The following is a 15,004-nucleotide window of genomic DNA, read 5'->3' as shown; positions in this document are numbered from 1 at the left end:
TTATAAAAGAAGTCTTCAGCTGGGTTGGGCAGGGAGTGAGTAGAAAAGGATTTATCAGCACCTGTTCGCATTTGGAAAACCAGAAAATACTTTCACAAGGCCCAGGAGCAGAATCCAAGTTTCTCATTAATAAAATAATATTTCTCATAGTGTCATTCTCCCAAACTTTAACAAAGTTCACATACACTCATTAACCTTCACAGTAGGGGAGCTAAATGAACTAGAATTTCCATTTTATATATATAAACAGAAACAGAAACCTCATTTTCAAAAGGAGTAACTCAAACCAACTAACTAATCTACCAGTGGATCGGTTCCCTAACAGGAGCCAATAAGCCGTATAACGCCCATCCCAATAAAGCCAATGGTATCAAGGAAGGGGAAAATGCCAGCACAGTAATTCTTTTCTGTGGTTTGACTGTCCATGGGTCATTTATTTCACTATATGAAGCCTCAATTTCCCCAGCAATAAAATGGGGATAATATCTACCACATAGTAATGAAGATATAGCTGTAAATTACTTTGAATTGCCTGGATAATCAGCATTATGCAAACTGATGAACTCATTAGAGAGCTACTAAACACATTATAAATCTCATAAAAATACTTCTCTGGAGATTAAGGCTCAATTAAAAGGCTTCATTTTTAAATAATTTCCATCACATTGTTATTTTAAAGACAAGAACACTTAAACAGCCGGTTTAGATATTTCTAGCAAAGAGACATCAGGCCTTCTCTAACATTCTTGATGATGCTCCGCATTGATAAACAATTGGCCAATTAAAGGGAAGAGGATATATCCAGTAGAATAGTTGTGAGCCTGGCTGAAATCGGGAGACCAGGAGAGCCCTCCCCAGGAGAATGCCACTGGCTCAACAACCTTGTCCCAGGTACATCAACCACCACATCTCTCAACACGGAGCAACAAGGCTCAGTATATCTTATAAATTCTCTTTCAAGTATGGTACCTAGGAACTAACCTAACTCGATTTTAACTTGGCTTCTCCCAATGTCTTCAGAAGAGGCAAATAAACTCCAACAACCTAAAACAAATGGATCAGAGGCTCTGAGACAGACAGTCTCAACGCTCGTCTAAAGCTCCGCTAACCTGAGAAATCCAATCCTCACACTACCCTGTATAGCAAGGACTAAGCCATGGTCAACCTCAGGAAGGAAAACTCTATCATACTACAACACAACTGCAACTCAGAGACTTCCACACCCTTCCACCATCAATAAATATCCTGTGGCCAAAACTGCAACTTCATTTTCCAAGTTCAGAGAGGTCATAGGTTGGATGAGTCCCAAAGCAGCCAAGGGGATCAAGCAAGCAAATATGGAACGGCAGCTAAGTGTTTTTTTGCACACAACTCTCAGAAAGCTCTTCCACCTAGTCAAGCCTGTGACCAAACTCTAATGCAGCACTGTCCCATCTAGGAGCCCGGGCCCTACTCGGCTGGAGGGTACCCAAAGGAAAAACCACATGCCTGTTTCCTGGTGCCCACCACCTGAATTATCAACCAGGCTAGTTTCCACAGATTGGGTCTGCTTCTTCTTGTCTTTCCTCACCATGTTTATGAAAGCAACACTCTAGGCAGACACCTCAGATCCGGAGTGGAGCATTATTCAATGTGTGGAAAGAAAAACAACTCAAATATGAAAGCAAATGGCTGAGAACGAACAGCCTTATTAAAGAATCCTTTGCAAATCTGAGATTCTGGTATTCACTAATAAGGGAAAAATGTGTAAACCATTCAGCAAAATCCAAAATGAGCCCAAGTTCAGGGAAACCATATAGTAATAGCTGTGCCCCTCAGAGGATAAGCATAATTTAAGCTAAAATAACTCCTCTTTCCTCCCCTGACCTGAAGCACTTGGAATGTTAGAGAAACAACTCTGAATGCAGGTGTTTAAAATTTTAATGTTTCATTGAGCTGACTATCCTGGACTCAGCTGGTGATCAATTTACCTATTAACTGTCTTTTCCAGCTCAATAATCTGCTCTAGGTAAAGCAATGCCTCCTGCTTAGGAGAGACCATGAGGCTAAGAAAACAGCGAATCCTTTCAGGACTGACACATAGAGGGGCCTTCAGGTCTGGGGTACTGGGTCAGAATCACATGTCCCAAGCAAAGCAAAGCTGGGGTCCCAAAGATGTGTGAGGAACAGCCCATCTTGAATCAAGGAGTTTAGTACATCAAGAAGAGCTACCACGACAGCAAACACATTTAACTGATGGCCGTACTGGGTCGTGTTACACAATGTCACAAACAGAATGGATGAAGCTGCCCTGCCCTGGATGACCCTGCACGAAGGCTGAAGGGAGCAGTGCAGCACTGCAGGCAGGCACACCTCGAGTGAGTGTGAGGCTGGAGACAGGCAGGGATTCCATTCACAAACGACTACAGTTTGGATTTTGCCTTTGATGCAATGGGAAACAGCCTTCAGTGTTACTTCCCTTCCTCCTAAAAATGTGAATTAGACATCCTGGTTATTTTAAATAAGCTGGCTTACCTTGCATCACTTGGGAGAATCACAAGCCATTGTCAATCAGTAAGAAGATCCCCACTGTGCCTCACTCTGGAGCATATCCCATGGAACCCACACAGGAAGCTGCAGCCCTATTATAAATCCATATCCACATCCTGGAGTCTGCCACGGTGACCACTGATGTAGGGGCTCAGGTTTGAAACCACCATCTGTTTTCCCTAAGCCCACCATCTGAAGGCACTGCTATGGTCTGAGCGTCTGTGTACCTCCAAAATTCTTATGTTTAAATCTAATTCCCAATGTAATAGTGTTAAGAGATGGGGCCTTCAGGAGGTGGTTAGGTCATGAATGGGATTAGCACCTTTATGAAAGAGGCCTGAAAGGGCCTTTTTCCCCTCCCACCATGTGAGGACCACCTATGAAGCAGAGCGCCCTCACCAGACACGGAATCTGCTGGTGACTTGATCTTGGACTTCCCAGCCTAGAGAATTGTGAGTGATCAATTTCTATTGTCTATAAATTACCCAGTCTAAGGTTTTTTGTTATAGCAGCTTGAAAGGACCTAAGACGGGCGTCTCATTGGGCCTCTCCCTACCTGTACTCTCCCAGGATACCTCTTATTCCTCTAGTAAAGCTGCTTGGGAGAATGATCATATTTTCTGTAAAATAGCCCTGTGAAGTTTTCAGAAGTAAAATTCTGGAATTTGGTCCTCTTCCCTTCATAATGAACCCCTTCATACACTCCTCCCGGCCCCATTATATGTTTTCCTTTTCTAATTACTAAAAAGACTCCTGATTTTACTTAAGCACATTCTCCAGTCTTCTTTGCAACAAAATGTGGCTGCGTTTTGGCCAATGGGATGTAAGCAGAAGTTCAGTGTGTGACTTCCAGGAAGGATCCTTAAGAAGACGGAGCCCATCCTTCTTGGTGCCTTCTGCCTTCCTCCAACTGGAATTCAGATGACATGGCTGGTATTCAAGCAGTCATCTTGGGCCATGAGGTACTTAGCACAGGAATACCAAGTAAGAGGGGGAGCTGGGTCCCTGATAGCATGGAGCTAGCACCATGCCACCCTGAATTACCTACCTCCAGCAGGCTCTGAAAGCCACTCAATAGGCATAACACATGCCTGAGCAATGCAGTTTTCATTCTAATAAGGTGAGTTATTGAATTCGAGCTTGAATTTCAATAAATCAGTAACACCCAAAAAACCACATTTGTAAATATGTTGTAAGCATGCATATTTCTAGAACTCCAAGATAAATAAAAAGCCAAAGCAACACAGCTAAACACAGACACATGCATGCATGGACATGTGTGTACACACACGCACACACACACAAACACACACCTTAAATCACCGTCCACCTTGCGATATAATAAAATTCAACTAAAATAGACTCTTTTGAAAATGGAAGACTTATTCATTCCAACATCGTCTCAGACACCTCATAGTGTCCTTCCCCACCCCCACCAGACTAAGCTCCTAGAGAAGAGACTTTGTGTTATTCAACTCAGTACCCCCAAGTGACTAACACGATGCCTGGAACATAGTAAGTTTCATGATGAATGAAGTCAAATTCATGCACTGTCACAGGAGGGGAGGAAATGAGGGTACACAGGAAATACTAGCATCCCCTTCCTGACTGTGTCTATGTCTGTGTTTCCAGAAAGCATCCCTCATCCATTGCCCCTGGGCCTCCATACCTCTCCTGTACACGATCTCCTTCGGAGGCCACCTAGCCAACTCTCATCACCTGTTTTGGGGAGAAACTTTCCAGCTCCAACATCCATAAAGTCCCATATTGCCTCCTACCCTCCTTTCCCACCAAGATATGACCCCTCTGCATCTCAGGAAGAGCTGGACTCACAGAACTAATCCCTACAACTATGCCTGTCTTAATTATGAAGGGACATAAGGATCTAACTGTGTACACTTCCAAGTTCAAATTCTACCATGACGCCATTCATTCACAACAAGTTTAAAGAATTACCAGGCAGGTTTCCTGCCAACATCACCCCACCCCATCCATGTGGTCCCCAACTCTGAGATCATCACATTTCTGCTTCAGGAACTAGGCCCTATCCTTCCTTTCAGCACCCTACACTCCTAGGAAAATGAGACCCCTCCACCCCTCACCAGCCCAACTCCTCTTACCTGATATCAAAAAGGGTCCCTCTCTTCAACTGATTCCCCAACCTGCCCAGGGTATCTTCTATATGAACATTCTCCTGAGCCTGGGCACACAATGCTCTACTCACCTGTTCTCAGAAGTCTCTACCACCATCAGCACATCCAAACACAACTGACAACTCTTTTTGGCTTCACACCCTTCTTCTAAAAAAAAAAAAAAAAAATCCCCAGTGCTCCCTCCTGTTCCTGGGCAGCTCTCTGGCTCAGCCCATTTGAAGGTTCCATTCTCCAACCTTCTCTCATGAATCACGGCATCATCCTATACCTCTCTGTCCTACAAAGCTCAGTACCAAAGATTACACCAGTTGCACTCCAGTGCCTATACTGTTTGTTATTTCGTTTTGGTTTTTAACTTCCTTTAACCCATCATCTTTTAATTAGAGTCTGAGTTCTCTACCCCCTACAGGTCAATCAATCTATAATGACTTTTGGGAAAGGAAATGGAAGCATTATTTTGGCCAGGAACTGTAGGTAACAAAATTGACTTAAGGAAATGTGGGGAAAACGAAAATGCAGAGAACACAGCTGCCAGAATTTCCATCCTTCTTCCAGATGCCTGTTCTGCATGCTCTTGTTCTTCAGGGAGAGAGATTGGCACTAATCCATCAGCAACTCAAACACTCCACAGCTTTGCTATTACTGCTGTTTGCTATTACTACTAGGACAACATCTTCAAGTTGCAATGACACACTTGATTTCACCAAGAAGCAGTGGTGTGGCCAGAAAAGTAGTATTTAACAATATGAACATAATCCCTAATAAAATACAGAATTTCGGGGCCAAATGTATGGAAACAGGTAGTAAGCTTGTCCTATACCCAAGCAGTTCCTAGGTTATCACAGCCTGGAGACATGGATTATGGACATGAAGTCAGCAGGCAGCATATGTATCAAGTTCAGCCAGTGAAGAGCTGCCAAAGGGTCTTACGAAATGAAGTCCACAACTGGACAGAGTTAGGCTCCACACCTAACCAGGGAATCAGGAAAGATGAGCTCAGCCCCATTGCATTTACTTCTTGCAGCTGGCTTCACTCCTTAAAAGTTGGTGGGGTCACAGAAGCAGGTATATACCCATAGAAATTTAAAGTAAAATAAACCTAGGATGGCAGGTGGACTCTTAAGGCCCCACCATGGTCTTCACCTCTTGGCATCATGCCCTTGTGTGATCCTCTTCCCCTGAATGTGGACAGGACTTGCAACTTCCTTCTAATCCATAAATGGAAGGTGACCAGATGTGTGTATTGCAGCTCCCATCATGCTGGAGTCCTTCTCTTTCTTGCTGATTTGATGAAACAAGAGACTGTATGGAGGACCCACATGACAAGAAACTGAGACTGGCCTCCAGTCAACAGCCAGCAAGAAAATGAGGCCTTTAATCTGGCTGTCTGCAAGGAAATGAATTTTGCTAATAACCTGAGCTAAGAATTGAATCCTTCCCCAGTCGAGTCTCAGATAAGACTGCAGCTTCAGCTGACACTTTGATTTCAGGCTTTCAGAGAGCCCAGCTAAGCTGTATCCAGGCTCCTGGCCCGCAGAAACTGTGACATAGTAAGTAAGTGTGTGCTGTGTTAAAACATGGAGTTTGTGATAATATTGTTACACAGCAGCAACAGAAGAGAGGTCAAGTCAGTGAGCAAGAATGAATGTTCAACAAATGATCCGAACAACTGGGTAGCCCCTGAAAAAAAAAAATAAAGCTGGATCCCTCACTCTCACATGATATAACCATAAATTCCAGGTAGAGGAAAGATTTAAATAGAAAAATACATCAAAAGAGAAAACATGCTTTTAATGTGTAATTTTGGAGTGAGGAAGGCCTTCCTAAGTGAAAGTCCAAAAACTATGAAAGAAAAGACTAATAAATCTGATTAAGAGAGAAAATATATCTGCAACTTGTATCACAGAGGGCTAATTTCTGTAATATGTAAGTAGTTCCTACAAATCAATAAGAAAAAGATTAATTACTCAATAGGGAAAAAAAAGCAAAGGCTATAAACAGTTTATAGAAATGAAACTACACATGGTTCTTACACTTATGGAAAGATGTTTCCTCATTATAAGAGTGAGAAACACAATGAGACACTGACTAGGATCAAAATGTGTGATAACACACTTGATTGAAAAGCAATGGGAAAAATGGCACCCTCATTTAGTGCTGGTGGGGAGTATACTGGTGCAGCCTCTCTAGAGGACATCAAGGCAGTAACTATCAAAACTACAAATGTGATTGGGCACGGTGACTCACGCCTGTAATCCCAGCATTCTGGGAAGCTGAGGTGGGCATATCACCTAAGGTCAGGAGTTGGAGACCAGCCTGGGCAACATGGCGAAACCTCACTTCTACTAAAAAAAAAAATACAAAAATTAGCCAGGCGTGGTGGCGTGCACCTGTAGTCCCAGCTATTCGGGAGGCTAAGGCAGAAGAATAGCTTGAACCCAGGAGGCTGAGGTTGCAGTGAGCAGAGATCACGCCACACACCACTGCACTCCCGCCTGGGAGACAGAGTAAGACTACACCTCAAAAAAAACAAAACAAACAAACAAAACACCTACAAACACCCTTGACTCTTCAACTCAACAATTCCATTTCTACAGGTATTTAGAATGACATATGCATAAGGCTATCCAATGTAACATTGTTTGTCACAGCAAAGATGTGAATCAACCTGTCTACCAATAGGAGCTTAGAGTGAAATAATTTATAGTGCATATATAACAGAATACCATGAACCATACACACAGAATAAGGAATCTTTCCATTCTGAAAGAGAGATCTCTGAAATATATTTAGTAAGTAAACAACGACAACAATAATCAAAAAAAACAAAACAAAACAAAACAAAACAAAACTGAGGTGCCTCCAGGGAGGAGACCAGGGCAGCTGGGGTCAGGTCAAAAGGACAGCTTTCATTATGTGCTCCCTTTTTTTTTTTTTTTTTTTTTGAGATGGAGTCTCGCTCTGTTGCCCAGGCTGGAGTGCAATGGTGCAATCTAGGCTCACTGCAACCTCTGCCTCCCGGGTTCAAGTGATTCTCCTGTCTCAGCCTCCCAAGTAGCTGGGATTAAAGGCACACACCACCATGCCTGGCTAATTTTTTTGTATTTTCAGTAGAGACGGGGTTTCACTGTGTTCCCCAGGCTGGTCCCAAACTCCTGAGCTCAGGAAGTCCATCCACCTGGGTCTCCCAAAGTGGTAGGATTACAGGCGTGAGCCACCGCGCCTGACCTCTTTTATACCTTTTAAATGTTGAACCATACGATTGCATTTCTTTTTCAAACAATAAAATTCAAATCAATAAATACATATAATTTGTAGAATAGGATGCATGGTATGCTACAGTTTCTGCAAAGAAATTAAATTCAGACTATCTATCTGCTCAGACATACCTACCTACATACATTCTTGCACGTAAACAGCTACCTCTGAAGTAGCACACAAGAATCTGAGGGCTGGTTTCCTCTGGGCTGGAGAATGGGTAACCAGTAAACTGTGCAGTGAAGCAGCAGGGATGAGAAATTCTCTTTCCAATTTTATACCATTATATCTATTACCAATTTGAAAACAAACGATTAAAAAAAAAAAAGTTTAAGCTGTTGTGGTTTCTCTGGTCCTCTGCTCTTCCCCCTTTAAGATTCTCACTGATGAATCGCCCTAACATCTCCATGCTGATAACTCCTAAATCCTGGCCCGTGTCTTGAACTGTCATCCTGAAACAGTCTTTCCCTCAGTTTCTCAGCACAGTGGTCTGGTGATTCCCCTTCTTATTCTCCTACGGTGGTGCCTTCCCTTAAGATCTGGTTTCTGTGAAACTCTGGGGTTTCACAGAGTTTTGTGCTTAACAAGTTTTCGTCTCCTCCTCCTCATTGGTACCCACAGCTGAGTGGTCATCTAGATGCCAGTACTTTCCAAATCCCCATCCCTGCCCAGATCTCTTGTCTGAGCTCCAGATACAAAAACCAGTTGCCAGAGAACATCTTACTGACAACTGGGACTCCTCCCCCACACCGGCAGCTCCTTCAGTGTTCCCATAAACCAGTGAATGGAGCCACCATCCATTCAGATAGAATACTGGGATCTTCCTGGATTCTTTCCCCACTCCTTCCCCATCCCAATAATCAGTTTTAAGGCTCCTACACAGTTCTGTAATCTGTCCTCTTCCTCCCACCTCTGTAGATCTCCCTGGTCCACACCACCTTCCTCTTTCCTGTGAGTTCCCGGCTGTTCTGAATACCCACAATATTGCTCCCCTATCCATTCTCCGCCCTGAGGCTCAATTCATCTTTTTGGTTCTATATTCGTACCCTGGGACTGCCATCACAAAATGCCACTGACCGAGGGGCTTGAATGACAGACATAGTTCTGGAGGCTGGAAGTCCAAGTTCAAGGAGTCAGCAGGTTTGGCTTCTCAAGAATTCTCCTTGGCTTGCAGATGACCACCTTCTCACTGTGTCTGCACATGGTCCTTCCTCTGTGTATGTGCATGCCTGGTGTTTCTCTGTGTATCTAAAACTCCTCCTCTTACAAGGACATAGGTCAAACTGGGCTACAGCCTATCCTAACAGCCTAACAGGTAACTTAATTATCTCTTTAAAGGCCCTATCTCCAAATACAGTCACCTTCTGAGGTACTGAGGGTTAGGGCTCAACATATGAGTTTTGGGGATGCAAATCAGCCCACCACAGTGTCCAACAGGTCATGTCACTCCCCTCAATAAAATCTTTCACTGGGGTCCCAACGCCCTTGAAATAATATCCTTTCCAAAACATGACCCCTGCCTACTATTCTCTCTCCCAGATGGAAGGGTAGTGTAGGCAGGGGTGGGAGTTCAGATGGGGGTAAGGGTACAGGCAGAATTAGAGAGATCAGGAAGAAATGGCACCCTTTCATTATCTCCCTTCCAGTCATGCTTCTTCCAACTACAGATAGACTTTGGGCAAGCTGTCTAAACTCTCTGCAGAATGGGCTGGGTCCTTGATGACCCACAGGCCTGGCTGAGCACCAGGGAGAGATGGCATACTCCACCCCATGCTTAGATCCCCTGGACAGAAAATACCAGGCCTGTATCCTCTCTATAAAGGTAAAGGTTCCCCCAGAGTCAATCAAGGAATCTTCTGGCCAAATCCAGGATTAGAAGCAGATCTAAACTGCAACTGGGCAATCTCCCTTTGAGACTAAACTGCTCATTAAGATGTCCTAGATACCCAGCATTAGAAAGTTACCACCTTGCTGGCTCCATCATGAAAATGAATGCATGGACTTGGCAGCGGCATTATGCAAGACCTGATTTGTCTGTCTCCACTTATGAACTGAGTGACCTGGGGCAAGATGCTTAACACCTCTCAGCCTTGATGTACTCATCTATAAAATGGGGTTAATATTCTTCTAAGTAGTTCTAACTATACTAATTCCAAGGGCTGCTGTAATTAATTGCCACGAACTGAGTGGCTTAAAACAACAAAAATATGTTCTTTCACAATTCTAGAGGCTAGAAGTTCAAGGTGTCGGCAGGGCCATGCTTCCTCTGAAAACTCCAGGGCAGAATCCTTCCTTGCCTGGCTTCTGGAGGTTGCTGGCAATCCTTGGCATTCCTTGCCCTGCACCTACATGCTCCAGTGTCTGCCTCTGTCTTCACAAGGCCATCTTCCCTCTGTGAGTGTCTGTGTACCCCCTCTTATTACAAAGACACCAGTCATGGGAATTAGGGCCCACTCCAGTCCAACAGAACTGTGTCTTAACGAATTACATATGTCAAGACCCCATTTGCAAATTGGTTTGCATTCACAAGTACCAGGTTTTAGGGCTTCAGTGTACCTTTTCAGGGGACACAATTTAACCTGTGACACCTACTTGAATGATTGTGAGAGGATTAAATAATGACCTAAAAGCACTAAGGACAGTACCCGGAGCACACAGTAAGCACTCCACACAGAACAGTTTTCCTCTTCCAGTGTGTGGCTAACATACAGCAGGCTACTTTCCCAGAAGATCAGGCCTAGCTTCTTTGCTCCTCATAAAAACAAAAACCACAAGCAAGAAACCAAAAGCAAATAAGCCGGTATCCTCATGGCTAATGCTGTATTAAGACTTTTAAAATAAACAAAGCAGGACTTGGTACCATGTCACTGAAGTAAATATTTTATCAGTGGGTCTCTGAAAAAAACTCCACGCATGCACGTGGGCCCCACATGCCTCCTCCCTGGAGGAGCTGGTTCTGCCAATAAGGGGCCTCAAGGGCTGCTTGAAAGCAGAGAGGAGTTTACTCAAGGTGTGCACCTCTGGTTCCAACATCTGGCTGCATTCCAGCTCAGCAAAGCCTTCCAGAAACAAGGCAACACGGGGCCTATGGACACCTAAAGCCCATGCTGAGGCTGAACCCTGAGCAACCTCAACACTGGTGCTTCCCAGGAGAGCCAGGCAAGAAAGCTCAGCCAAGGAAGTGATTAATAAATCATGGGCAAAGCTTTTTCCCATTCTCTGCTCGGTGGAAACCAAAACGCCTATCACAATGATCAAAGCTGCTGCCTGCAACTTCAGATTGACTTTGACTGAGCTCATTAAGTCATAAGCTTCTGCAGAGTGGATTTTCTCCATGGATAATGCTTGAAAATTAGGAAGTTAAGTGGCTTGGGAGAACCTGGGACCCATTAACCAACTAGCCAGTCAGAGCTTCCATTAAAAGAGGAAAATGGCTGAAAATCTGAAATCTGTTCTTGGGCAGCTGTTCAAAGATTCTATTATGAGTTTTCAGGGGAAGCCCCTTGGGGTTCACACCAGCGTGAGCAGAGAAGCCTCCATGGACATGAAGTGAGAAGGACCTCGACCGAGAAGACAGAGGCCTGGGTTGAAATCCTGGCTGCATCTGGAATATTAGGGATTTCTTTCCTCTCTCTGAGCTTCGGTGTCCTGAGGGGGAAGTGCCCCCCAGTCTGAGGCATGTGGATTCCACGGCTGGAACCTGTGTATAAAATCGTGACTCTGAGCCGGGGACTTGGTACGCACACCATATGCACTTAGGAAAGGGCTGTTCGTAAACAGATCTGTAGACGACAGAGTCCCATCTGCCAGTTACCAAATGATGAGGCCACACGTGAGGAATTTAACCATCTGAAACAGCTAGATGTTAGCTGGTAGAGGGAAAGGCAGGCTAGAGTTGTGAAACCTGCCAGGTTAAATAATTTTCTCCTCTTTCTGCAGAATCACGGTGTTCTCTTGCAATAGATCTTGCCTATGTTGTAAAGCTCTTTGGCTGAGATGGATGACAGAAATATTAACAAAAAACTGAGGCATTAAACATAAATTAAATTAAAACATTAAAACTGAGAAATTAAGCTTTTCCTGTTTGGAAGAAGAGACTCAGAATGTAGGGCAAAAGAAAGCACAGGGAAGCAGGGAGGCCCAGAGCCAGATCCCAGAGAAGAGTGAAGTGCAGAATTCAGAGGCAATGCTTACATTGCCCAGGACTCCTCTCAGTAACGTGCATGAACTCAACACACCTCGGGAAAAAGAAAAAGAAGATCCAGATCAGATTTTGAGGACTCCAGTGTCACACCTTCTCAAATATCCTGAGACACCAGGCCAACCAGGCAACAGGAACAAGCAGCCACATGGTGCCAGCCCCTCTACTCCCAAAAGCCCGCTGAGCCAGACGTTATTTCTCCAACAGCAAAGCCTCCTTCCAGAGGCTCTAAGCATTTGATGCTCACATCCACTCCTCCCAAGGATGAGATGACCTCACTGGCTCTGGTCAATACTAATCCCTTCACCCCAAAGTCCTATAGAAAATTATTCCTTCAATCCAGTGTCAAGAGGAAAATTCGAGATGATCTTGAGGAAGCTGGTCCAGAGGAAGGCAAGGAAGAACAAGGGCTGCCTGCTGAGACATGTGTTCTATGAGAAACCAACATGGCTTCCTACTATAAAAAAGAATGCTCGGAGGTAGAAAAAATTGGGGTTGGTGAATTTGGTACAGTCTACAAGTGCATTAAAAGCCTGGATAGAAGTGTTTATGCAATAAAGCACTATATGAAAACTTTTTCAGGATTTCACCTGAGAATTTGGCTTTGCGTGAAGTTTATGCTCATACAGTGTTTGGACATCACCCCACCTGGTACATTACTACCCCTTACAGGCAGAAGATAACCATATGATCATTCAGAATGGATACTGCAATGGCAGGAGCTTGCAGGCTGCTATATCTGAAAACACTAAGTCTACTAATCACTTCCAAGAGCCAAAACTCAAGGACATCCTTCTACAGATTTCCCTTGAACTTAAATACAGCCACAACTCTGGCATGGTGCACCCGGACATGAAACCTTGTAAAACCTTCCTTTGTCACAAGATGCAAAGTGACTCCTCTGGAGTCACAGAAGTTGAAAATGAAGCTGATTAGTTTCTCTCTGCCCATGTGATATATAAAATTGGTGACCTAGGCCATGTGACATCAATAAGCAAACTCAAAGTGGAAAAAGCAGATAGTTGCTGCCTAGCAAATGAGATTTTGCAAGAGGATTATTAGTACCTTCCCAAAGCAGACCTATTTGCCTTGGGATTAATCACTGCAATGGCTGAAGGAGTAAGGACATTACCCATCAACAGTGCTGCAAGGCACCATAACCATGAGAGTAACTTCCCAGACATTCCTCAGGAGCTCTCAGAAGACTTTTACAGTCTGCTCAAGCACATGATCCACCCTGATCCAGGAGAGAGACCTTCTGCAGCAGCTCTGGTCAGAAATTGGCCCTGGCCCTCCCTGGGGAAAGCAGAAGAGCTCTAGCAGCAGCTGAATTTGGAAAAGTCCAAGACAGCTGCACTGGAAAGGGAACTAAGGGAAGCCCAGCAGGCCCAGTCCCTGCAGGGAGACTTCCATCATGGTGACCCTCGGGTCTTTGGGACCACACGGGATCAGAAAACACCAAATGCCTGGTAGGAGGAAAGAGTGCAAGGTCTTCAAGCTTTACCTCAGGACAGCATGAGCCTCTGAACTAAAGGAAGAAAACAGGAAACAGCCCTTGCTTGGCCTTATGGATTAGGAGGTTGCCCTACCAAGGATCCCAGGGATTCGCTGTACATAGAAAGGAATAGAATTTGGTTTTGAATTCAAGTAACAGTTTACAAGAAAATGTGCCTGGATTTCCACAGTACTTCCCAGGTTATATGATGCTATTTCTGAAAAAGAGTTCCCAACCCCTTTGTGGAAGTGGGTCTCCTAATATATATACCCTTTCTGATATTGTATTTACTAAATAAATGGCTTCACCATTACATGAGGTGGGTAAAAGTAAGACTGTATATAACTTGGACATCTCTGAGCTGGTTGTTTAATTGCAGAACAAAAACGCTGGATGGAGAAGGTTCAAGGAAAACTTGACATGGCTGTTCTCCATCTACTTGCCCTGTCCCTCTTGTGGCCACGTTCTGACTGGTTTGATGTTCCAAGCCTCACCAATTTCCCTTTATTTTATCAGAATTTGGCCTTGTTTCCTATTATTTCATCATACTTTATCCAAATCCTTTTTATGTACACATTTTTAAAGGAAAAGAATACTGCATTTTTGCTTTTTGTTTTTTGGGACGGAGTCTCACTCTGTCACCCAGGCTGGAGTGCAGTGGTGCGATCTCAGCTCACTGCAACCTCCGCCTCCCGGGTTCAAGAGATTCTTCTGCCTCAGTCTCCCGAGGAGCTGGGACTACAGGTGCATACCACCACGTCTGGCTAACTTTTATATTTTTAGTAGAGATGGGGTTTCACCATATTGGCCAGGCTGGTCTCAAACTCCTGACCTCTGATCCACCCACCTCGGCCTCCCAAAGTGCTGGGACTACAGGTGTCAGCCACTGCGCCCAGCCTGCATTTTTAAATAAAGCATTTTATCTTGTCGAAAGACAAATTACAGGTAGAGTACTCTTCTTTGTCATACCGTCACTAACAAAGAATGAAAAATTTACGTTAGAGAACATTTTACGTGATAAAAGGGTAAGAGAATTCAGTAGGTCAGTAGTAACATGCCTTGGCAGTAGGGCCCAGATTCACAGATCCAAAAGTTAATAACAGTCAGGATCTGCTATAAAATAATGTTGGTCATAAAGGTATTTGATAAATTGTTTGTGTCATCTTAATGAATGCAACCTGTTAATGATTAATGGCTTTTTTTACTGTTGGATTTTCTTCTTTTCCTGATTTTAAAAAGCGAATTTTTTAAATTGAATAAACCCTCACACTATTCTTTAAAAAAAATAGTGTGTCTCTGACCCCAAAGACTATTTAAGAGCATTAAATGAGACAGACCTCTCTCCTAACATACGCCTGGCAGATGCTA

General features: G+C 44.0%; 1 protein-coding gene and 1 pseudogene across 3 annotated transcripts in view, besides 2 other annotated features; one reads left to right on the top strand and one right to left on the bottom strand.

Moving 5' to 3' along the window:
- The window catches only part of LDLRAD3 (low density lipoprotein receptor class A domain containing 3), a 288,075-nt gene that overhangs the window by 251,457 nt on the left and 21,614 nt on the right, over positions 1-15,004 (bottom strand). The window lies entirely within an intron of this gene.
- Positions 2,608-3,109: an enhancer, noted in NCBI's record as "NANOG hESC enhancer chr11:35999121-35999622 (GRCh37/hg19 assembly coordinates)". NCBI's record gives its function as "activates a minimal SCP1, AML or CMV promoter by ChIP-STARR-seq in primed H9 embryonic stem cells {active_cell/tissue: H9 hESC(primed)}" and the evidence as "EXISTENCE:reporter gene assay evidence [ECO:0000049][PMID:30033119]".
- Positions 8,343-8,532: an enhancer, noted in NCBI's record as "active region_4628". NCBI's record gives its function as "activates an Ori minimal core promoter by ATAC-STARR-seq in GM12878 lymphoblastoid cells {active_cell/tissue: GM12878}" and the evidence as "EXISTENCE:reporter gene assay evidence [ECO:0000049][PMID:35858748]".
- WEE2P1 (WEE2 pseudogene 1) lies at positions 11,807-13,870 on the top strand (annotated as a pseudogene).

This window comes from Homo sapiens, chromosome 11, assembly GCF_000001405.40.
Source record: "Homo sapiens chromosome 11, GRCh38.p14 Primary Assembly".
NCBI classification, from domain to species: Eukaryota; Metazoa; Chordata; class Mammalia; order Primates; family Hominidae; genus Homo; species Homo sapiens.
The sequence above is the reverse complement of the archived record's forward strand: the minus strand, read 5'-3'. Positions and strand labels throughout refer to the sequence as shown.